Source organism: Homo sapiens, chromosome 3 (assembly GCF_000001405.40).
Source record: "Homo sapiens chromosome 3, GRCh38.p14 Primary Assembly".
In the NCBI taxonomy this organism is placed as follows: domain Eukaryota; kingdom Metazoa; phylum Chordata; class Mammalia; order Primates; family Hominidae; genus Homo; species Homo sapiens.
In genome coordinates, this window is record NC_000003.12 from 173675049 (window position 1) to 173699574 (window position 24526).

Here is a 24526-nt window from a genome sequence, read left to right on the forward strand (position 1 = left end):
GATTGACAGCTGTATGCTTTTAATTTATAAAACATATTAATTATTAATAAATTGTGTTAATCTCTAAGAGCATGAAATTTTGGACATAGCATAAAGGAAGAGAGAAGCAGCAGAAAGGAAAAAAATCTTTGTTGATTGAATATTTGGAATTGATTGCACTGATGTCTATGTGGATCTTCCTTAATGAAATGTTTTTATTTAACATGGATGAACATCAATAACATATTCTTTTTTTCCCACTTTTTGGTCTTCAGAGTAGTTTTCAAAATGCCAGAATCCCATATTCATTTCATTGCGCATATATCTCTCAATTGACCAGCCAGCTCAATCTTCAAAATTCATCATTTTAATGCATCTAGGAGCTTCAGGTAGCAGAAGTAAATTGAACAATTTATTAAAACAAACAAACAAAGAAAGCTCTGAGAAGTCTTTACGTAAAATAATTCATCTGATTATCAAACCATAGGTAAATAAGGAAAAAGTGCTTGCTAATAGGAAGAGATAGCACTTCACTCAAAAATTTTAGCCAATTATTTTATTCTTGGTAGCTGATAATATTATATTAACTATCAGTTATCGATGCCAGGAAACCATGTAAGATAATTTTGTGGTTGCTAGAGGTGTTGGGGGAGTGAGTGTGGGTTGGGAAGAAAGGAGGTGGATGTGGTTATAGAAATGCAAAACAAGGATCTTTATTGGTGATGGAACTGTTTTGTATCTTGACTCTTGCGGTGGACACATGAGCCTGACTATGTGATAAAAGTGCATAGAACTGCTCTCTTTCTCTGTCTCTGTCTCTCTCTCTTTCTCTCTCTCTTTGTCTCTCTCTCTCTCTCTCTCACACACACACACACACACACACACACACACACACTAGAGTATAAGTAAAACTGGGAAAATCTTAATAGGATTAGTGGATTGTATTAATGTTAATATGCTGGTTATGATATTTTACTATAGCTTTGCAATATGTTACTATTGTAGGAAATGGGTAAAGTGTGCAAAGGATCTCTCTGTAATATTTCTTACAACTACATGTGAATATACAAGTAATGTCAGAATAAAAAAGTTAATAATAATAATAGTAGTAATAATAATAAGATATAGCAAAAGGAAACTAGAAAGAAAATGCTTCATTGAGCTTTGAGGCATGCTGCTCTTCCTTGTTTTCTAAACAGCCAGAGAGCTGAGGTAGTGATGCCTTTGACAGACTATAGAATCTTAGCAGTCTGGCAGGCAGATCAACGGGACTGGAGGTCAACAGGGCCAGATGGAAATTGGAACAAACAAAGCCCTAGTAGTGGAACCAGAGCTCTGCTATATTCCAAATCAGTTCAAGTACCATATGAAGAATTTTAGCCAGTCTGCCCTTTTGGTTCCCTGACAGTGGCTATTCAGTATCCAGAAATTGCTAATATAAAGAATATACATGCTATGTGTTTCAGATAATATAAAGTTTTTGTTTGTTTTTTTCTCTATAAAGGTAATATGGTAAATGAATAAAATATTTTTATGTATATACCTTTGATGTACTTTTTGTATAAATTCATAAATTGGAAAATACATTTTATTCACATTTAAATTTATTTTAAATATATTGTATTCTAATTTTTATTGGGAACATGTAGTTGCTGCACACTGGAAATATTAAGTAAATATCTATCTTTAGTCTGAAAAATGCCTAAACTTCCACTGTACATCTCAGCATACCTCAAACAAAGCAAAATTTCATATTTTCTTACAATTATTTGTCTTCATATGTCTCTTCTGATAAGACATTGAGTCCTTGGACTGTAGAACAATTCTCCTTATTTTGTTTGTGTCTCTCTTCTTACTTTGATCACCATCCTTTTACTCCCGGCCCTGATGTCTAGCATAACACCCTGCAAATGTAGATGATTAATTAATATTTGTTGAATTAATTTAAAAGTGAACTGTGGGAAAATAGGTTCGGTGATAGAGCATGTATAAATTCCCAGAGCATATTAAATTTCCAGAGAAGGAGAATAGAGTCAGAAATGAAAGACCTGAGACTTAGGGAAAGACTATTTGTGTAGCCATCAGAAAAGTGCTTCAACAAGGACCAGGGTAAGCTATACAGATACCTTGGCAGCTGTAGAGTGAAGGTTGGCTATTATCTGGCTAGAAGGGTGATCTGAAGACCAAGATTTACACCCAGGAATACAAATCAGAACTCGATTATATGAATCCTGTCTCTCACCAGACCCAAAGGTAGTACCGTCTTGCACCTGCTTGGAACTATGTGCTAGAATATCTTTCAGACATCCAGGCTAGTACAGAAAAATTTATAATATGTTAGCCTTTCTTGCATGTAACTCCATCAATCAATCATTCCTTTGTCTGCTTCCATTGCTTGGTTTTTATTTACTTTAATTTTTAATAAATTTGTCATTTAAAACCTTCAAGTTGCCTATAAATTATTGAGGAGAGAAATAGATTTTAATTCCTTAATAATAATCTATTTAAACCAAGGCAGTTTCTTCACAGATGAGCAGAAATATTGTTGTGCAAAGACTACCATATAGATTTGATAAGTTTATAACCTATTATCTATGAGGCTTATGCATTCTAAACATACATTTAAAAAACATTGTAAATGCAGATAGATATAGATACATACATATTTAGCTCCATGGGCCAAAAGAACTACCATAAATAAACTGTCTATAACCAACTAGTCACTGTGGCTAAGGACTCACATAATTTCCATAACAATCCTTCCTGAATTCTGTATTAATGTCTACATTAGGTAGGTACAGCAATCAAATCTTGGAAACATTAAATTGTTGATTGAAAGTCTTACAGCCAAACTAAAGATGGGATTAAACTTTGGGGCTAACAGCAGAGTCCTATTCATTCTTTGACACCATGACGTAGTGTCATATAATTTAATTTTCAGTTATCTATAGTTTCTGGTGCAATTTTCTTCAGTCCTGTCCAGTTCTGTGTGTGGCATTGTGTATGTGCAGTTTCCTCAGTTTGTCCCTTATCTTGCTGTATATGGAAGCATTTATGGGATCCACTTTTGAAACAGCCTCTGAATTGAAATACAATGTATCTAGTCAACCTGAGCGTCCACAGGCCTTTAATGTGACAAGGGCAGTTTATTCTCACAGTCTCTAATATAGTCATTTGACAAATGTATATTCAGTGCTTGCTGTTTATCTGGATTTGTTCTATGTACTAGGAAGACTAAGATGAATATGGCATGGTTCCTGCTTTTAAGAAACATACAGACTGTTAAGAGGGCTACGTTAGAAATAATTACTACACAGATTAAGGACATGCCGCAGTAGAGGGAAGAGAAAAGGCCATTGGATGTACAAAAAAGGGAGAGTTTAATTTTGCCTAGTTATTATAAAGCCATAGGAAAACTAGGGCAGGCTTCACAAAGGATGTGATTTTGGATCTATGTATTGAAGGAATCGTAGGAATTAACAGGTGGAAAGAGGATGGGGTTCATTCCAAACAGAAAGATCCACATCATGGAGGTTGCAAGGGTGCTGCAAATGGTTCGTTATGGCTATAGCGACTATAAAGTAAAGAAGTTGAAGAAGCAGCTGAAGACAAGAGATCCTCTGAGGTCTGATTTTAAAGGACCTTATACCCTAGGGGTTAGTATTTTTAAATTAGGAGAGTGATGTGGTCAGATATGAATTTCAAAATGATTACCCTGCCAACAACATGGAAAATAGATTTTAAAAACTGAAAACAGAATACTAGTTAAGAGGCCACAGATCTAATCTAGGTGAGAAACATTGAGAGCTTCCACTAAGTAAGTGATATAGAAATTGAAAAGATGGACCTATTTTATAGACATTTAGGAGAATTCCTTGCTTTACAAGGTGTTTGAATTGAAGTATCTGTAATAATTGGTTGGTTCCATTAAGTGAGAGAAAAAGTATGGTAAATGGAGCAGAGTTTAGTTGGGAATTAGATGAGTTTGGTTTAGGTATGTTATTGAGTTTGAGGACACTCAGGAAATCACAAATTAATACTGAACCAGTCTGTCAGTGCAAAGATTTTTCATTCATCTGTATTTTGCAGCCCCGATGTGAAAAAAAAAAAAAGTAAAAAAGTACAGGGAGATTTTAGAAATGATTTAGAGTTGATGAACAGCAAATAGATTAGTTGACTGAGATTTTTGATAAAAGAAAAATGTAAATGATTCACTAGGGCTAGTAAAAAATGAAAAAAAAAGATGAAGAACTGATAGATGGACAGAAAATGCGCAGTTCAAGAAATTAGAGGTTCCAGGATTTCAGAAAAGATAAAGGAATGAAGGAGCTGAAATAGCGTAAAGATTTTACAGGCAGCACTAATTCTGAGTCATGTGGTAGTCTACAGATTCGGGTTATATGAATGGGTTGCTGAAGTGATTTGGGGATAAATGTTCTACAGGGGAGGGGATAAAAAAGACTGAGAAGCTAGAAAATTGGATAGGTTATCTCCATGTGTTGGAATTGCTGAATACCATTTCATGAGTTAGGTTGGAGAAGTAGACTATACGCCAAGAGCTAATTTTCTCTATGAATGTAAAATGACCTGGAGGTCAGTTGAAGAAATGATGAAAGGATGGAGTAGAGGGTGTTACAGCAAAATAATATTGGTCTCAGGAAGGAAAGACTTTTTCAAGAGTGAGTTAATTCTATTTTGAACTTTGAAGTAAGATGCCAGGAACATACCTGGAGTCTGATCTTAGTAATCCCTGCATCTGATTTTGGTAATTGTTAACCATGATAAACCTACTGTATGTGCTTATGACTAGACAATGGCCATCAATGAATGAGACGTGGAAACCCCCTCTATGTCCTACAGAATATGGCATGTTTTATGATAAAAGTTCTTTGAAAAGTTCATGCCAAGGAAACAATTAATTATGACTGTGAAAAGAAATCAGGAAATCTTCTACAGAAGAGAAAATATTGGACCAGTACTTGAAAAGTGCATATGATTTTGGCTGGAGAAAAAGAAATAAATGAATGGAGAAATATGTTCTGGAAAAGTGAATATGTTAAGGCTAAAGAGAAAAGAAGATGAGGGTAGAAATATTTTATTCTGTAAAAAATAAAATGAGGTTTTGAAAGTTTATTTTGTTTTGTTTCTTAGCGGGGTAGTGGTATGGATAGTGGAAGGCATTTTAGTTAAAACTCATGAGATGCTGAGCTTTGTGCTAATTTATGTTAATATACTGCAGCCTTATTAAGTATTTCACTTACTTATTTTTCTTGATAATGTAATTTGTGCAAAGGTAACAGTAATAATTTGAAGAAGGAGGTGCCATTTTTAGGAATGATCAGAAATGTACTTTTAAATTATCTATATGCCTATAAATCACCACTGCCAAGTTCTAGAAAATTCTAAGGTAAAAGCAAAGACTGGAAGATAAAAATGCAATTTTGAATTAATTTGAAGTGTAGCCAGTCATCAGTTTTTAAAACAATATTCTCTTTGTTATCAAGGTGACAAGTTTTTAAAATTCTGAAAAAACGAAATTCAGTTTAAATTTTAATTCTCTGGGTGTCAAGTAGCAAGATGGAACAAGGTTATGATTCTTGTGTTTGCTCATTAATACCATTTTATGACAATGATGATATTTCTGCATACATTTGAAATGTGTTAATGACATGTAGTTAAAGGAGAGGACATTGGTTGACAAGTTGAACCTCAGTCACTAGGGACCATGGATGGAAACTGAAGTAACTTTGGGAGGTATATACAATATTTATTTGTTTCAGTTCTTGGTGCAGAACAGAACGTTCTGAACAAAGAACTAATGCAAATGTACCCTTTCTGGCTCCAACTGAAGCAATGTGATGCCTTGCAATTGGAATTTTGAGACATGGAAAACTGGGTCAGATTTTCTTTCTGCTTCAGGCTACATTTTTTTTAAAACCCTATAATAATTAATTTTAAAGATTTCCCATTTGCTTCATGTTAAAACTATGTCCTTCAACACGTTTAACAGTGAATTTTAGCTACATAATTTTATTTGAAATTTTTTAGGCTATCAAATGCATGATGATTGGACTGACTGTTAACTTTGTATAGATTGAGTCTACTCTCTTCAAAAGAAATGCAGCATTTTCTGACCAGTGAGATAAGATAAGCAGAAGTTGTTTTATATTCAGAGTACTATTTTTTTAATATGGTAAAGAAATAGAAACATGAAATGTTTTTTCCAAGCTAAGGTAACAAAATGACCTTACGGTCAGTGTTTGGATGTGAAAGAGGAATAGAAGATTGATGTTTTGATGGATAATAATTGACTGTTAGCTGTTCTCACTCTTCTAAAGGCAAGGATGAATTTGCACTGATGCTTCCTTGCTGTCACTCTAAATAATATATCTCTGTGGCTCAAGCTGTTATCAGTAATTGTAAGTAGGTATTTTTGTGACAGTCAGTCCTCTGGAGCCTACATGATGAATCCATCCTTGGCCTCTCCAAACCTCCCTGGCTGATGTGCTTGAGGTTTGCAATTGTGTACTCCCTACCCCTCAGGGAGAAATCTGCACATCTTCCTGGTACTGTTTTTATGGGGAACTCTCAGAGTAAGACATATTTTTGGCCCTGATTAAGCACTTGGGCTCTAGACTCAGACTGCTAGTAACTACTTACTAGGTATACAATTGGGCAGGTTACTTAAGCTCTCTGCACCGTGTTCCTTCACTGACCATAAGAATACTGAACAGACAGTAACCCCCCTCACAGGGATATTATCAAATTGAATGTGTAGTCATATGATGCCATCAATACAGTGCTAATAAATGCTCAATAATTTCTTCTTATTGTACTTCTGTTGATGGTTTGGGGAATTCATTTAACTACCCTAGTCAACCTCCTTATTTCTAAAACACTTAAACATAATATTTTTAAAGGATTCTGAGATTTGTGAAACTAACTTACTAAGAATTGACAGTGTGAGCTTTATTTAGTAGGAAAATAGGCTGTGAAATGTGTTAGAACTGATTCGATCATGAGTATGCCATTTACTAGTGTTTTTCTGTGGGTAATTTGTCTTTACTCCCTTGTCTTTTTTCTCATTTTTAAGAAAAGGTGAGAATAATAGTAGTGCCCACATCATTGAGTTTTGAAAGAATTATATGAAAGAGTTTATGTACAACACTTCATTTAGTGACTAAATTCAAGAAATAATAACTATTGTTATTATTTTCAAATTTTTCATACAAATATTGCCTTTATGAAGTTGTCTTTGCCCATCTATAAAGACAATAGGTGGCTGGGCACGGTGGCTCACGCCTGTAATCCCAGCACTTTGGAAGGCTGAAGAGGGTGGATCACGAGGTCAAGAGATCGAGACCATCCTGGCTAACATGGTGAAACCCCATCTGTACTAAAAATACAAAAAATTAGCCGGGTATGGTGGCACATGCCTGTAGTCCCAACTACTCAGGAGGCTGAGGCAGGAGAATCGCTTGAACCCAGGAGGTGGAGGTTGCAATGAGCCGAGATTGCACCACTGCACTCCAGCCTGGGTGACAGAGTGAGACACTGTCTCAAAAAAAAAAAAAAAAAAAAAAAAAGGTATTACTACATAAGCCATGATTTTCCATACCTAAGAACTTAAATAATTGGGTTAACCCATTATGCCTGAGGTTGGAATTTTGTGAATTTTTGCAATCAGACCTTGGCGATGACCTTGAGCAGTAGGATATAAATAACTCCCACATGCTTAGTGTTCCAATAATGGAACACCAGGCATAAATGGGTCAAGTCTTTTAAATTGTTACCTGAGGTGTCAATGAATTATATACTAGCAAATCATGGATGTTGAAACCTGAGGTTCATATCAAATTTAGATATCTCTTTAGTTGAAGAAAGCCACCAAAGCTATTGTAATGTAAGGAGTTTACTCCAGCATGAGAGACTATTTAGAGATTTTTATTAAATTGTCATGTAAGTTGCTGGTTTTGCAACTGTTAAAAGTTATTAAAACCGTGCTTTTCATCATAGGACATTCTGTATACAGCGTGCATTTTTGTGGTTAGTTTTAAAAAATAAATTTAAATATTTCTTTCTCCCATTTAGTATTAAAATGCAGCTGGCATGTATTTATAAATGATGTATAAGAATCTATTTTTTGCTCCTTATAAAATACAGAGATCTAATTTGATTTGCTTTGCTTTCATTTTTATCCCGTTGTTGTCTCAGTGGAAGAAACTATCATTCCTACACATTTCAAGTCCTCCTTCCTTCCTCTTCCTCTTCCCCCCATGGCATAAATACTGCTTCATGCACTGTGTGTTTGAAAACACTGCTTTTAGTGAGTGCTGGTATTATCTTTCTGGGAAATAGAGTTGAAATTCCCCCAGATCCCACTAAGCTCTCCTCAGCCTGTCACTACTGAGGATATGGAACTGACTACATATTGGGGGATCTCCAAGTGACAGAACAACAACTATTGCTGAGATGTGTAAATTAGAGAAAAGACTGGATTTGAGGTAGTAACTCAAAATATGGTTTTTTTACCCTCTTTCTCTCATTCCCTATTCCCATGGTAATCAAAAACATCTAATTACTTAATTTCAAGTTAAGCATTTACTGTGAGAAAATTATTTATTCTTACTTTACTTCAGAACCCATCCACATAATTAAAACACAAGTAATTCCTTTCACTTAGTTGATACGATCAAATAAGATAATGTATATGAAACAGATGATAAACTGTGAAGTGTGGAAGGGTGGGTCAGGTATAGTGCTTCGTGCTTTGCATATGTTTTCAAATGTAAACATCATTTCAACCCAAACAGATGCATATTGTCACCATTTTGCAGATAAAAAAACAGAGGGTGAGGCCAAGTCACATGCTGGGAAATGGCTGTTGGACTTGATTTTAGCACAGATCCAGCTGATTCCAAAGCCAAAGCTATCTTTAATCACAGTAAACAAATCATATATCATTATATGATTATGATTTACATAGTAAACAATTTACACAGTAAACTGTGTAAACAGTTCACAGTAAACAAAAGTATATTGTTATTATTACTTAATTGTATATAACAAGTGTACCTTATTTTATTTAGTATATTGAAATTCAAACATGCCAAAACAGAAAATAATTTGAAGTGATTATTAACTTTTCAAAAAAAATCATTTGCTTTTGAAGACACAGTAAGTTTTTTTAAATAGAACCCTTTTTTTAAATTCTAGTGTCATTAAAGATATGACTTGATTTTTAAAGACTTCACTTCTATATACCTTTCCAGCAGCATGTGTTTTAAACAGACTGATTTGCCTCTACAGTGCCTTTTTACTTTGAGCTCCATAAATAGATGAAACACATTTGTCAAGGATAAATATGAAGTTTAAAAGTCAGAACTTAAGTAGTGTGCATATCTTTATGATACTATGAGGCTGAAGTGTACCTGGGTAATAGACGTAAAAGATGTCCATTGCTCTAATTTACTTATAGGCCATTAGCTTTCTACATATCTGGGCTTTGAAAAACTAGACCAAAGGAAAACATGCTTGTGATGTTCAAAGAACCCAATTTTTAAAATGTGTTGAAGTGGTCCCACTACATCTCTAAGCTCATGTGACGTCCAATTTACATCATATTGGAAATGTCAGTCACTGAATCAGGTTATTGTTCACTTTTTTTGTTTGTGTTCAAATTACATATTGAGAATTTACATGAAGTGTTTCATGATGAAAATATTTGAAGCTTGAAAGTTGTACTTTAGTTGAATTAACTGTATATTCATCCCAATTTAATATTTTCCTGACCTTAGCAGTTAAAATTATAACTAAGCTATTTTAAAAATTAATACATAACAGTGGAGTGTTATTACAAAAGCCTTTAAAGGTAAATAATCCTTGCTCTACTTCTGATAATTCATAAATTATTGTTTTTAATAGAGTTCTTTTGCATGTAGATAATATATTATTTCGTACTGATAGATTTTAATGTGTGCCACCAGTTGAATCCTCTATGCCCGGTATGGCACCAGATGATTCTTAGCATTATGTTAAGCCCTCCTTATTAGACCATTTAATGGCCTTTGTCTTTAATAATGGAAACTCATTTAATAATGCATGGTTTGTGTTACGTTAACAATAATTACAGGATGCCGAGTAGTTGCTCCAGTTGAAAATCAATTTAAATAAGTTGCTCCCAATATTACAATAGACACAAAATGAAACTTATTGGTCATTAGTAATTATGAGACAAAATCATTAGAAGCCCTGTGGACAAGAAAAGAACAGATTCAAATCATTCTTTATGTATGGTTAAGACATATTCCCAGGTTTTATGAGCTATGAGGGTTGAGGTTACTAGTATCTTATGAAAATTAAGAGCTAAACGTGTTTTAAATGCATCAATAATTTGAACTGTCCTAAACACTGTTATAAAAATGCTCCCATGATTCCTACTTAAACAATATTGCTGGGTGATTTTCGAGGCCTTAAGTTAATAGTTACCACTGTTGTACCTCAGCCCCTGCATAGAACAAGGGCTGCCAGGCAGTCATCAAATCCCAGGAAAAGAGGTTATTAAAGTTCAGTTATCAGAGATAGGCTGGAAGTCAATGATTTAAGATGGTGAGCTCTAAGTTGTTAGGGCGGAAAGATAGCTATGTCATGTAAGGACTCAAATCCAGGAAGTTTGGTAAATGATCCCAAGAGTACCAAGATTGGGTGATCCAGTGTGACTCTGAAGCATGTGCTGGGGCTTTTTGTATGTGCTGTGTCAAAAAGGTAAGCACAATGAGAGGGTTGAATGTGAATATGGAGATATCATTTACTATTCTTCAACATCAGATGTCCTCTTACAATTAAAATAAAATTAATACTTCTTTCACTTGATTGAGAAGATTAAAACCTGAATTTATGATGTGGGAGTACGTGGACTATATCAAGCTACAAGAAGGGTAAAGGGAAGAGGGAGAAGAAAAGGCATGGCAGAGTCTAGCAATCATTAACCATGCTCATTTGGGAAGGTGGCTAACAACTATTTTTAAATTTTAAAACATTTTAAAGGAAATACATTGAGTTAAAACCCAAGGCAAGAACTTGTTATTTTGGTCACAGTACACAATTGATTTTTCATAGCATAATCTCAGCAATATTGAGATAACTGTGAAAGTGGAGACATTTTAGCTTATTCTTCAGTTGTTGAATTCAGAGTTCTCTTAATATTGTACTAAGATGAGAAAGCAAACGCAAAGCGCTTGACTAAAAAAAAAAAAAATCAAAACAGAAACAAAATAAAATTACCCCAACTGTTTAATAAGTAAAAATTTCTTTTACTTCCTCTCTTTTTTTCATTTTCAAAAGGGGGTTTTAACTTCATTTTGATTTTATTATACTTCTCCTTAAATTAGAATTACTGTATCAAAGTTTTTGAATTCTGGGACTGACTCTAATGGGAAGAAAATAAGGGAAATGATGTTTCCTGGTGATCTAATCAAACTTTGCTCTCTGAGGATTTTTAAGGGTGGTTAATTTTATTGTCATTACTATGTAAATGTTTCCCAGCTTCTAATCATAGGCATGCTATTGCTTATCCATGCTTCCCCCAGCCATATAGACAAGATCCATAACCTACTCCAACATCCTGTGTATAAATAGACACTCATGGCTGGGTGCAGTGGCTCACACCTATAATCCCAGCACTTTGGGAGGCCGAGGCAGGCAGATCACGAGGTTAGGAGTTCAAGACCAGCCTGGCCAACATGGTGAAACCCCATCTCTACTAAAAATACAAAAATTAGCGGGGTGTGGTGGCAGGCGCCTGTAATTCCAGCTACTCAGGAGGCTGAGGCAGGAGAATTGCTTGAACCCGGCAGGTGGAGATTGCAGTGAGCCGAGATCACGCCATTGCACTCCAGCCCAGGTGACAGAGCAAGACTCCGTCCCAAAGACAAAAAAAAAAAAGATACTTGTGAACCTCTTTTGAAATCTGAATTGTGTGTGGTATGGGAACAAGTATCCAGGAGGAGTGGTTACTGTGGGTTGGAAAGTGTGTAGCACTGGGACAGTAGTAGTCTGCATGTTGGGTTTTGCTGTGCTTGTAAAGAAACTCCAAATGGAATCCACGATCAGGTTGTTTACCTTAAATTCTGGACTTAACCCTATGTTTGTAGAACCGAGTTGGATTCTCCTGTAACAGTGGTTCTCAATAAAATAGACTCAGTAACTCCTTTGTGTAAAATCTTTTATAATGCACATTTTACTAAAATGAAGCTAATGGATAATATTCTCTACCCACACATGTGATTTTTAAAAGTAATTTTAAAATGATATAGACCTTATTATGTACATGCGTGGGTATGGCTTCACTAGAAGATGGATAAAATAGTCAGATGCTTATGCCTATACATAGAATCACTAAATAGCTAAAAGGCAGACAGATACAGGTGTGCTTTGTTGGGGACTCAAATAGTAGGAGCAGCCCTGCTGTCAGTCACCTGATTTTCCTAAATGGTAACTTACTCTTGATACAATTGTGAAAAATAAAATAAAAATGTCTCTGGACTTATAAAACAGTTGTATTTTGGGAGAATTTATATTTATACTAAAAAGTGAGAAAAATAAAATGTTTAAATATTGATATGTGAAAAGGAGTTGTCGATGTCATCAGCTCAGATAACTATACATATTTATTTCACTTATATATGTATGTCCAGCAAGGTCTTTGAAAGTTGTGTCAGATGTAGGATAATTCTTCACTCTACAGGAATGTTTCTTGAATGCAGAACAGCTAGCAAGTATTTCCAGACAATCAATGAAAGAGCCTCCCAAATTAAAAAGTGAACAAAAGACATTCTAAGGAACACAGCCACTGTAGGCAAGAACTGTTGCTCTGTACTAGAATACCACGTTTTAAAATCTCAGTTAATTTCAGGAAATACTAGTTCTCTAAGAAAGGTCTAAAATTAAACAGAATGGTCAGAAGGTAATAATAAGGCATACTAGTGTTTCAAATGCCTGATATAATGGACATTCTGCAGTTCATACACAAAATTGTATGTATTCAGTTGAGTTGTAGACCTAGACTATGTCTGATGATGAGATACTGCTGGTCATGTGCCTTTTCAAAGGCATTTTTTCAAATATTTAATGCTACTGCATGTTCTTCCTACTTGTGAGTCGTATGACATGGTGTATGTGAACATGCTTTGTAAACCGTTAAGCCAATTGTGAGTGTTATCAATTCTATTATGGAGATTTTCTTAAATAGTGACACAAGGATTTGCTAATGGCTCCTGAGGATGCAATGGAATCCTCTTATTTCATTTGCTGTCCTAAGGGAAGTAAGTTTCAGTAAGCTTACACAAAGTTAATGAGTCATTAGGCTTTGAGTTTTGGCCTCCTAAAACAATGCTGTTTTTCTTAGGACTTTGTATTCCTCTGAGTGCTGTGTGCTTGGGCAGTGGAGAGCGACTAAAAAGGTCATTCACATTTTCTTTTTAATCATAGCAATACACTGGAATCAAATAATATAGCCATTGAGAGAGCCCTGTTACTGTCTCAGTCATTAAAATAAAGCTGTTTATCAAACACTAAACACATGGCAGACACTACGTTATTAAAGATACCACAGGCAAGTCACGTGGTCTCTTACTTCAACTGGATGTATAAGAAAACTAATCTTGCTTTCTCCTATTGGATAAAAATTAACTGAGCATCCCAATATGTTTTCAAGCTTAGGTATAATATGATAAAATAGTTCTTGTAGTCAGCATTCAAAATTAGTCTTCAAAATGTCATGGACAAAATTGCTAATTTCTAAAAAAATACCTCCTCCAATTTTCTTTTCTTTCATTAAAATGGTGCCAAGGAGTATTGGGGAAGGGAGTTACATATGAGACTGTCAAAAAGTTGGGTTTTTCTGTTTTGGCATCCTGTTGTCACATTTAGTGTCTGCATTTAGTCACCTTCCATTTGGGTGTACTAATAATTTATGGCTAACATCTGCCGCTAATGTCATTTATGTCCTACTCTGGTAGACCCAGATCTGCTCTTACTGGCTGCCTTGGTCCCATTTGGCTCCATAAAAGTCAGACCTTCCTTTATGTCCTGAGTCACCTCCAGCCTCTAAAGTATTCCTCTAGATTATGCTGGTGGACTGTACTACTGCCCTGCTTGTTCTCAACTCAATATCCTGGACATGTGGGACTGTGCTTGCAGCATGGCGAAATCAAACCCAACATCACCCCCTCTGACTACTTTTGCTTCTAAGGGTATGAGATTGCTCTTGTCACAAGACTGTGTGAGGTATCTTGTAAGGAGGCTTCCCCTGGGAAGTTACAGAGACTTGGGTAATGGAGGAGGCAGCCCCAATCTGCTTGTAGAGTTCCTCTGACTTCCCTAATGCCCCTCCCTATCTGCTGGACAAATCTGAACACACCCCTGCTGAAATGGCTCTTCAACTTTTCTTTCCACCTCCCAAAATTCTCTGAGATCAGAAAGAGAAAATGGCATTTGACCCCACAGTCTTTTCCTGTAGGCACTATTAAATCTGACCTTTGTTACCCTAAAGAAGGAGCCAAAGGAATTTTGACAAGATTCCTCAAGATAATGGCCTGGTTTGCAAGGCTCCCATGCGCTGCAAAATCATATTTTGTGTATTACAAGCTGAATTTTATCTTGAATTATTTTTCATTCTATCTGTAACGAATCCAGATCCTCCCACTCTACCTTGCCCCATTCAATTAGGTACCTTGGATGAACTACAATAAAAATCCTGTTCTCAAAAATGCAAAGAAGGAAAGCACTTCAGTAATTTTCAAAATAAACTAGAAATAGGGGATGCAATAGTGGAGAGGATAGACATGATCCCTTACTTCTATGGAGCCCATGTTCTATTCATGAGGAATGGGGGTCAGATAAATAAAAAAATAAGTGGGGGATTAGTGTTATGAAAAAAGTAAACATAACATTAAGGTAACGAATATAGGGAAGTTTGAAGAGATTGAGTGATTCTAGTCTTTTGTTTATATTTGAAGAAACTGAGACTTAGAATTTTCCGAATATTAATCATTTACTTACTGACAGTCAAAAGTGGTAGCAGGACTCCAGAATCCTTACTGAGTGAGCCCATTTTATAGGCGACACTTAAAAAAGAAAATGAACTAATGGTCTTGGCGTGGATTCAGGTTAGAACGGCTTGTATTAAATATTGTGCTAAAACATTTTTTAAAAGTCTCTACTCAAGTGAAGAGGACTGCTGACCACAACATCATGACTTACATATTCTATACCTTTAAACTTTTTGTTTCTCATTCCTAGGATGCCATTTACTCTCACTTCTAGGCATTATAATTTTTATTCCTGCCTAGACACCTCCTTATTTATGATTCCAACTATAATGACCACATCTAGAAATAAGCTGTCAGCTCTTGCTATTACCTTCTGTGGCATTTTTCACATACTGCCTGAATTACTGTTTGGTTTCTCACTAAGTTGAAATCTTTTTGTGGGGCAAATAATATATACTATAAATATGTATAGTGCTTTGCTCACAGTTATCAGTAAATATTTGGTGAACAAATACATGAATTATGTAATGAAAGTCCATGATGTCAGATTCCGTAGAAGCTCTTAGTGTATGAATGATTCATGGACCTTGGTAATCTGTAATCAAGTTAATGAAGAACATAGTTTCTGCTTCCGTTTACAGCAGCACTGACTGCATATAAGAATAAATGCACAACGAGGCATAGATTTTTTAAAAAGATAAAAAGTGCAAGATACATAGATATGTGACTAATTATAGTTTGTATGGAGAGATCAGAGCCAAGTGTGGTTAGGGAAAGAAGCCAAAGGCAGAAAGACTTGAGTTTAAACCGTTTTTGGAGTACAGGATGAACAGGTTGTGGTGCCTTACGGAAAGTGCCTTAGGAGAAGCTGTAAAAATTGCAGAAGTTGTAGAAGGGTGAACACAGTTCTAGGTAGAATATATTAAGTTGATATACCTGACGAAATATTAACTGGGGATTCCGGGAGATGGAGGAGTGGAAGCTTTGAAGCTTGTGATTAGGAGTCTGAATTATATTCAAGGAATGATTGGTAGTCATTGTTGGCTTCTAAGAGGGGGAACTTGAAATAACATTTAGGGAATACTCCTACTCCTGTCCTTTGCTCATGCTGTTTTCCCATCTGGAAGATTTCCTTTTCTCCAAACCCCTCTTTAGCCCATTTCTTCAAGGCTTAATTCATATCCCTCTGTCTCTGAAGCTTTTCCAATGATTCAAGCCAATGCGTTCTCTCTCTCTTTCTGTCTCTCTGTTTCTCCATCCTCTGCATTTATTGCTTTTACTACAAAATTAATATCCTTCTGAATTCTCTCTTCTTAATTTATAATAGGCTCTTTAAAAGATTTTCTAAAATACAGTTTTGTTCAGTAGCTGCAGATTCTTATTTACATCATAAGGAAAATAAAATCTTTGAAGCCAGCGACTTTATATTATGTTTTTGTGTACTCCATTTAGCATTCATCTAGGTTCATGTGTGTTTAATACGTGTCTTAAAGTGGGATAACTTATAACCCAAATATCAACTCAGAGATAACGTTTAAGAGTTAGGAGAGACCTTAGAGGTCCTGCCTAGAGCTTGTGTTGAGATCATATATGAAGTCAGTACCAAGGGCTTGCATCACGTTTTTTTCTGTCAGTGGTGTTATCTAGTTGGATTCTATATGATACTGACTGTACTTGCTTCTAAATGTTACTGAACAGCTTCCAAAACCAAAGAAAATGAAACAACGGCAACAAATATTTTCTTTAAGTGAAATGTTTTTACTACTAAAGATTTTTGGAAAAAAAATATTGGCTTATGGGTGGTGACTGAGAATACACATTAAATTCCCATCTGTGGAAGGACTTTAGTCATTTGAAAGCTAAAAATTGACTGCACAATGCATCTCTTTATAAAAGAATACAAAATTAATTTTATTGCACTAAGGTACACGTGGTATCTTGAATGTTGTGGATTTAATAGGTCAGAAAATAATAGAAGATTTATTTTTCACGTAGCAGTTACCAGGAAATAAAATTCAATATACTAATTAAATCAAAATATAGCATCATTATAATTCTCTTTTCATTTACTTGTTAGACATAAGGCATTCTCAACTGGAAATCAATATTTTGTTAAGCCCACTAGTGTTTAAAAAGGAAATTGCTCTGTTATTAATTATTCTGCTGGTAGATGTTATGACATCGCTTACTTATGTAGTCACCGTCTCCTCAGATATAAAAGCAGTAAACTTTAAACCTTGTTTGGCAGTTATCACTTTTCTGTGTGAAGAAGTTTTTATTCAATTAAAAAGTCAGTGATCTATTCACATTTGTGGCATGAGGATTAACTGATAAGTGTCTCTATAGCCCTAAATGTTATGTGACCGCGATATAATAAAGCAAATAATCAGTTATGTCTTTGAACATAGAAAATACTATATAAATGCAAAATATGACTTTTTCAACTACATTTTTCTAAAGTACAGAGGTAAGATTGGACTTATCTAATACCTGCAGTGGGTGATGAAAATCCTTGGTAACATACTACTTTAGTGTTTATATTGAGTATTTTAGAAATGTGTTTGATAGCTACAATTTGGAAGTACGCAGAAGGCTACAGAACCCTGAAGGCAAAGGTGAGCTGCTTGAATTAATATGAACTAAAATGATAATACGTTATACTTAAAAGCTAACTTTTTTGCAATATACTTAGAAGTCTTTAGCTGCATTACCTCTAATCCTCAGAATACATCATGAGAATAGTCTCTGTGAACAGGGTTAAATGCATTGGAAAGAACACTGATGGAAATAAGGAGGGGTCACTTTCCCATTAACAGGTACTATATAGAGTCAAAAGCGCATGCCTGATGTCAGATAGAGCTGAGCACACAAACCATTTCTCCACCAGTGAGACGTTTCAATCATACCAAGTATCCTTGCTATTTTGCATGGTTCAAATTGGTGGCCTAAAGAGATTTGTTACTTGATTACCTCAAGAGTACACTACAAGTGAAGGTAAAAACTAGAGTTATAATAAGTTGGTTAAGGAATCTTTGTAAGGTAATTTTGTGGAAAAATAACAGAGCAAGTGATTCTGACATCTCAAAGCAGAATAAGATAAAATGCTGGGGATCTTCTGGTATTGAAGGAAGTGTTTTGATGTGCACCTTCTATAAAGTTAGTCCTTCATGTATTTCGGAACACCAGAATTTTTTTTTAATTGTGAAGTTAAAGGAGGGACTGAAATAAAATTTACTTACCAACTATGGAAAGCAAATACTATTATTGCAAATTCCTTCATGAATAGGGAGGTAGCATAAATATGTAACATGTGAGAGTAGAAAACAATGGAGAATAATGGAGCATGTGTGAAAAAGCTAAAACTTTACCAATACCTTCAAACATAAGAAGTTACTTAAAGTATTAATAGAGTATTTATAAATTAAAATTATCTATTCATTGAAGAGAATTTTCTTTACTAAGTATCACACTTGACAACCTGCTTATATTCTTCTTGTATTAGAATTTTAACTTATATTGGCATTCACTCTCCTAAATTTAGTAGCATGAATTAGAGATGTTTTTATTCTAATATTGGCTATACAGCAGACTAACAAATAGATAATGTTTGGGAGAATGGTGCAGAAAATAATGAACAAAAAAACAGGAAATGGTGTTCAGAAGAATGAAAAATAAAAAAGAAGGTTAATTTTCTTTAAAAGGTAACAATGTAAGTTTTTTGTGTTATTTTGGGTCGCTGAAGTATCCAGAACTAACATTTTTGGAGAAAGTTGAGGATAGTGAATTGGAAAATAATATTAAGGTGTTTATAAACTATTAATACACAGATATTAGTTTAATTCATGCTACAAATTAAAATTTTAGGGAAAGTATAAAATAACACATTTAAGGACAATACACTGCTGAGAATAGGAAGAAATAAAAGGAAAGTATAAGAAAATAATAGGAAGAAAACAGTCCTTAAAAAGTATGAGAACCCAGAGGAAACTGAATCCCAAAGTATCAACAAAGAGAGAGCAATGAGACCGACCAGCTCTGTTAGTGATTTTGTATGATTTATATTGCTTGTTGCTGGTCAAAGTTGTGAAACTCTGTTTTTTTCTCTCTCTCTTTGTCTTCTGAAATAAATAAGGTCAATTTTGAATTATATTTCTTCTGTATGTTTAAGTCAGTGATGCACTCTGAGCAGTCTGGAACAAGATATGACAAGATGAGCACAAATAAAACATTATGTAATGTAGAGGTGCAAAACTAACTGAAAATTGTTTGGACACTTGAGGGCCAAGTGCGGTGTTGAAAGCTTGTGAACAATGATAAAGGCCCATTTAATGTTTCATTATGTTTGGTTCATTGGGACCTACTGACGTGTACATTATCTAGGATTTCAAATATATTGAGGTACAAACTGATTCAACAGAACACATTTTTCTCTCATATTGCCTTGTGTGATAAAAAGAAGCAAAACTGAATAAGATTTTGTTTGTTTGTCAGAATGTACAGTAGGGTAAATGAAACATGTTTTTGTGCATAGCTCCTCATATCCAGAATGAAAACTTGTCATTTTTTCATAGGTACCATTGAAAATATTACTTACCTGGTAGATTCCAGCCTTCATTGTAAATTGAAATATGAGATTATAAGCCTAGGGCTTACAGCACTTCTATGCAATGGTCCTGATTGGAATATTACTCACATGTGCAATTTTGTGTTGCCTTTTATTGACTGTGACAAGACACATGACATGCAGCATGTGCACAACCACAGCAAACAATATTAGCAGAAAATGAATTTCAAAGAGGGAGAAGAAAAATATGGCCCACTACCAGCCCTCCACTGAAGTGTGGACACATAGTTGAGGTGTGAGTAACTTTCAGATTTCATTAATAAATTCTGCATTTATCTTTATTTGCTTTGACTTTTCCAGTAATTGTATTGAGACTTTCAGTATCTGAGGCTTTTCCAGAGACTTTTAGCTATATATGTTGAGCCTGACAGTCAAAGGCTTCCAGCTGGGTGTTAAAATTAGTCATTTTTTTAAAAATCCCATATTTTATGGCCTAAATAAAGTTGCTAATAAATACTTCATTTAAAAAAAATACTTTTTCAAGAGAAAAAGAGAAGAATAGCTACCTTCAGTGTCCAGAAGTACTTTGAAGACATGATTCTGTACTGTTAAATATTCTAACAACCAAACATTATTAATACAGTCAGTCCCCATGTTTCAAAGTAGTTGTCTTCTAAAATCCATTTGTTAATAGGTAGCTTGAAAATAAAAAACAAAACATTTTTATGTAGGAAAAGATAATTAGGTTTCCAGACTGATCCACAAAATTCTCCTCAAAGAATAGTGCATCCACAAGGATATATATGTTCATACTTAGGATTTTTTTTTCAATCCATTTATTCTGAGTCATTAATAAAATTTTATTTATAAAACTAGACCATATATTCAAATTTTTTATCTTACTATTTTTCAGTGCCTCTTACACTATACTAGCATGCTAACTATTAAATATTTTGTTTCTATTTTGTTTTTGTTTTTAAACATCTTATACTTTAAAAATCTTATACTGTGGACTTATAAAAGTCCACAGCTTTTTGCCAAACCAGTAATGTAAGAAGCATATCCACAAGCATAACTCAACCTTATTACGATCACTTCTTGAAATAAAACTTTGCACAATTTAGTTTTTCTATCTATAAAGTGTGAAGAATAATACTCATATCATGGAATGTCTGTGAACATTAGAGAAAGTTTGTGAAGTGCCTGGCACTGTGCCCAGCATATATTGGTGCTATCATGGCTCACTGCAGCCTCGACCTCCTGGGCTTAAGCAGATCCTCCAATGTCAGCCTCCTGAGTAGCTGAGACTACAGGTGTGAGCCACCATGTCTGGCTAATTTTTGTATTTTTTGTAGAGACAGGGTTTCACCATGTTTCCCCGGCTTGTCTTTAACTCCTGAGCTCAAGCAACTCTCCCACCTTTGCCTCTCAAAGTGTGAAGATTACAAGTGTGAACCACTGAGCCTGGCCTTATTTATAATTCTTTATGGTACCTGTGAAGAAACTAAGTTCCAACTAAGTTGACTAAAAATGGAAATCTATTAGAATATACAATTCAAGAAAAGAGTGAACAATATAAATGTGTGACAGGAGGATTTTGCCCTCCGAAGGTTTAAATACTGACAACATTCTCTTTTGATTTTTATTTCTGCTTGTCTTGGCTTCTTGACTCCAATGTCTACCTTAGCACTCTAACTTCTCCTTGTAGCATAGTGGGAAAATGGCTATGTTTTAGATCCCTAGTTTTATGTTTTATAGGTATAGCTACCAAGAGACTTTTTTTTCTCAGCTCCAGTTTTCTAAACCTTGAAAAGGGACTATGAGTGGCCCTCTTGTTGAATCAAGAGATCCAGCCCATTGCTGAGCCAATCATCTGTGGCCCAATAATGAAATCATTCTGAACATTGAAGAGTTATATGGTAAGCATCGTTGAGGAAGGAGTAGACTAAAATTTCTAGAAAATGGAAGAGAGCACTGGGAAGACAACTCTGTTTACTTCATACTTCTTTTCTCTCCTTCACCTTCCTTTTCTTTCTTTTCTCTAAGAAGAATATGGTCATTGACAATTGAAAGAACATTAGTCGGGCTTGTTTTTGTTTGTTTCTTATGAGTTTTAACCACATAAAAATGTTGCCCTACATATACAAGAAAGTGTAAATTTCTATGAACTAGCCACACTTTTTCATAATTACATCACAGTCTTTTGTATTCACCTACAAGGTGTTCTGCAGACATTATGGAGTAAACACCTAAACAGAGTAGTATGTTTCATAGAAGTATATTGCTACAGTAGATTCAGATTTTTATGAAGAAAAAATTTATGACTCTTCTGAAAATGGGCAGTCTGATAGAGCCATAGAGCAAGCCAGAGAGTAATAATAGCTATTACCTATTATTAACAATGCTATCCTTCTCATCATTTTAAAAATATGATCAGAAGTAGTATTGCCACATTAGCTTTGATCCTAGTGAAAGTTAAATGTTTCTTTCCAGTTTTTATGCTGCCTTCTACTCACTAACATATAGATACATGTTTTAATTACAGGCACATTGCATAGATACTCATAAAACAACCTGATGAGTTAATATGACAGCATGTCAGAAGGATATGCTTGGGAGTGTGTCAAAGCAGGACTCAAGTTTATTTATTTATTTATTTATTTTTTACATATTTTCCAAGCTGTGTTTCCTTAGGCAATCTGCCCTACCTTTACCTTTCTAAGTCTCAGTTTCTACATCTGTTTATAAAGAAAATGGATACAATAAGCACATTAGTGGCCAGTTTTATTTTTCATTGTCTGATTTTGTGAAAGGATTTTTAAAAACATTAAGAGAGGGACATACAAATTTCTATATTGTTTGCTAGAGTGACAGGGACAGAGAGAAAGATTTTCTTTTTTTTTTAGACTGAGTTTCGCTCTTGTTGCCCAGGCTGGAGTGCAATGGTGCGATCTCAGCTCACCGCAACCTCTGCCTCCCGGGTTCAAGTGATTCTCCTGCCTCAGCCTCCTGAGTAGCTGGGATTACAAGCATGCACCACCAAGCCCGGCTAATTTTGTATTGTTTTTTGTAGAGATGGGGTGTCTCTGTGTTGGTCAGGCTGGTCTCGAACTCCTGACCTCAGGTGATCCACCCGCCTCGGCCTCCCAAAGTACTGGGATTACAGGCGTGAGCCACTGCATCTGGCCGAGAGAAAGATTTTCAATCTAATATTATTTTTATTACTATTCCCCTTTATAGGTCAGACCCTCTCTGTGATTAGAGGGTAAATGTGCACTTTTTAGTAATACATTAATTTTTTTAGATTATTGGGGCCATTTTGTAAATGTTTTTTCCATTGCAGTGGATGGTAACCAGTGGCCTAAACGCATAAGGACAAAGCTTAAAAAATGAAAAAAAAAAAAAACAAACTTATTTATATATGCTTTATTTCAAGATAGCTTAAAAACTTTTTCCCATGTTCTAGTTCATTAGGATCATAAATCCTTAGGAAAATCACTGTTCTGTTGCAGAAGATGTTGTTCACTGATTTGTGAAGGTTTGTAGTTTATTTATTCTGCAACTATTAGACACTCAATAAATGAATTTGATGATAATGCTTATGGTATTTTTTCCAAGAATTAGAAATCCAGGAAAGAAGGGCATCACGTTGCAATACTGAATTATCAAATCGAAGATTTTTTTTATGCCATATGAAAACAGAATCAGCACTCAGGTAGTCTTCTTTCAAATACCCATTCTTTCACTGATGAGAGATAACAGACCACCTAAACCATTTCATTAAATGGCTTCTGGTCGTCTGATGCATTTATGCGCCTTCTACTAGTGGAACAACCGTATTCCCTTTTGATGCATAAGACTTTACCCACTAGTGGCAAAATGCTTTAAAATGATAGAGTACATTGGCCATCATATTTGTTCAGTTCTCAGTATATACCTTGCTCTATATTATGCCCCGTGGAATATACAAAAAAATTGGTTTTCAAAGAGCAACATGTTTGCTACATAATTTTTTTTCTATTTTATGGAAAAAAATTCTGTTGTCCATACATACACAAGAGAAGCTTTCCCAAATGAATAAATGATTAATTTCAAAAAGCCTTTATTTTGTTTTCTTTTGACATTATCTGCCTATTTGGAGCTAAGAGAATGCCAGTGATGAAATGGTGAGAAATGTTGTGTATTGTGCAATTAGAAAACAGGAATTTTTTTTGTTGTTTGTTTGTTTGTTTGAGATGGAGTTTCCCTCTTGTTGCCGAGGCTGGAGTACAATGGCGTGATCTCAGCTCACCCCAACCTCCACCTCCCAGGTTCAAGCGATTCTCCTGCCTCAGCCTCCCGAGTAGCTGGGATTACACGCATGCGCCACCTTGCCCAGCTAATTTTGTAATTTTAGTAGAGACGCGTTATCTCCAGGTTGTTCAGGCTGGTCTCAAATTCCCGACCACAGGTGATCCATCCACCTAGGCCTCCCAAAATGCTGGGATTACAAGCGTGAGCCACCGCACCTGGCTCAAGAAGTTTTAAAAAACAAAAATCTAGGACCTCATCTACCCCTCAATCATGGCAAAACCAGTTATTTCAAAACCCAAATTTTAATATGGTTTACCAAGCCTGAACATAAAATAAAAGAACACAAACTAAATGTTACCAATACAGGTTAACAATGCACATCCATACAATTTAGGGCAAATCCAAAATCAACTTGACGTTAAATATGTTAGCCTATTCTTGACGTTAAATATGTCAAGCTCTTCTCTCTTGGTTTGTTTTGACCTAAATTTCTAACCTGATATTCTTATTCAAATGTGTCATGAGGGCAGCCAAATGGCCTGATTTTTCCAGGACAGCAGTAAAAACTGTTCTGCTTTGTCATGGATTCTTTGAAATAAGTTGTTCTTGCAGTGAATACAAATGTAAGCTTCCTGTCTCA

General features: G+C 35.1%; 1 protein-coding gene across 33 annotated transcripts in view; it reads left to right on the forward strand.

Moving 5' to 3' along the window:
* The window catches only part of NLGN1 (neuroligin 1), an 898421-nt gene that overhangs the window by 279097 nt on the left and 594798 nt on the right, over positions 1–24526 (forward strand). Inside the window, exon 1 of one of the 33 annotated variants that reach the window (XM_005247237.4) lies at positions 9153–10743. The exons of the other annotated variants lie outside the window; for them this stretch is intronic. Within the exon in view, the coding sequence (XP_005247294.1) occupies positions 10707–10743 (37 nt within the window). The 5' untranslated portion in view covers positions 9153–10706. Of the gene's footprint in view, positions 1–9152; positions 10744–24526 lie in introns of those variants that run through there. 33 annotated transcript variants of the gene reach the window in all.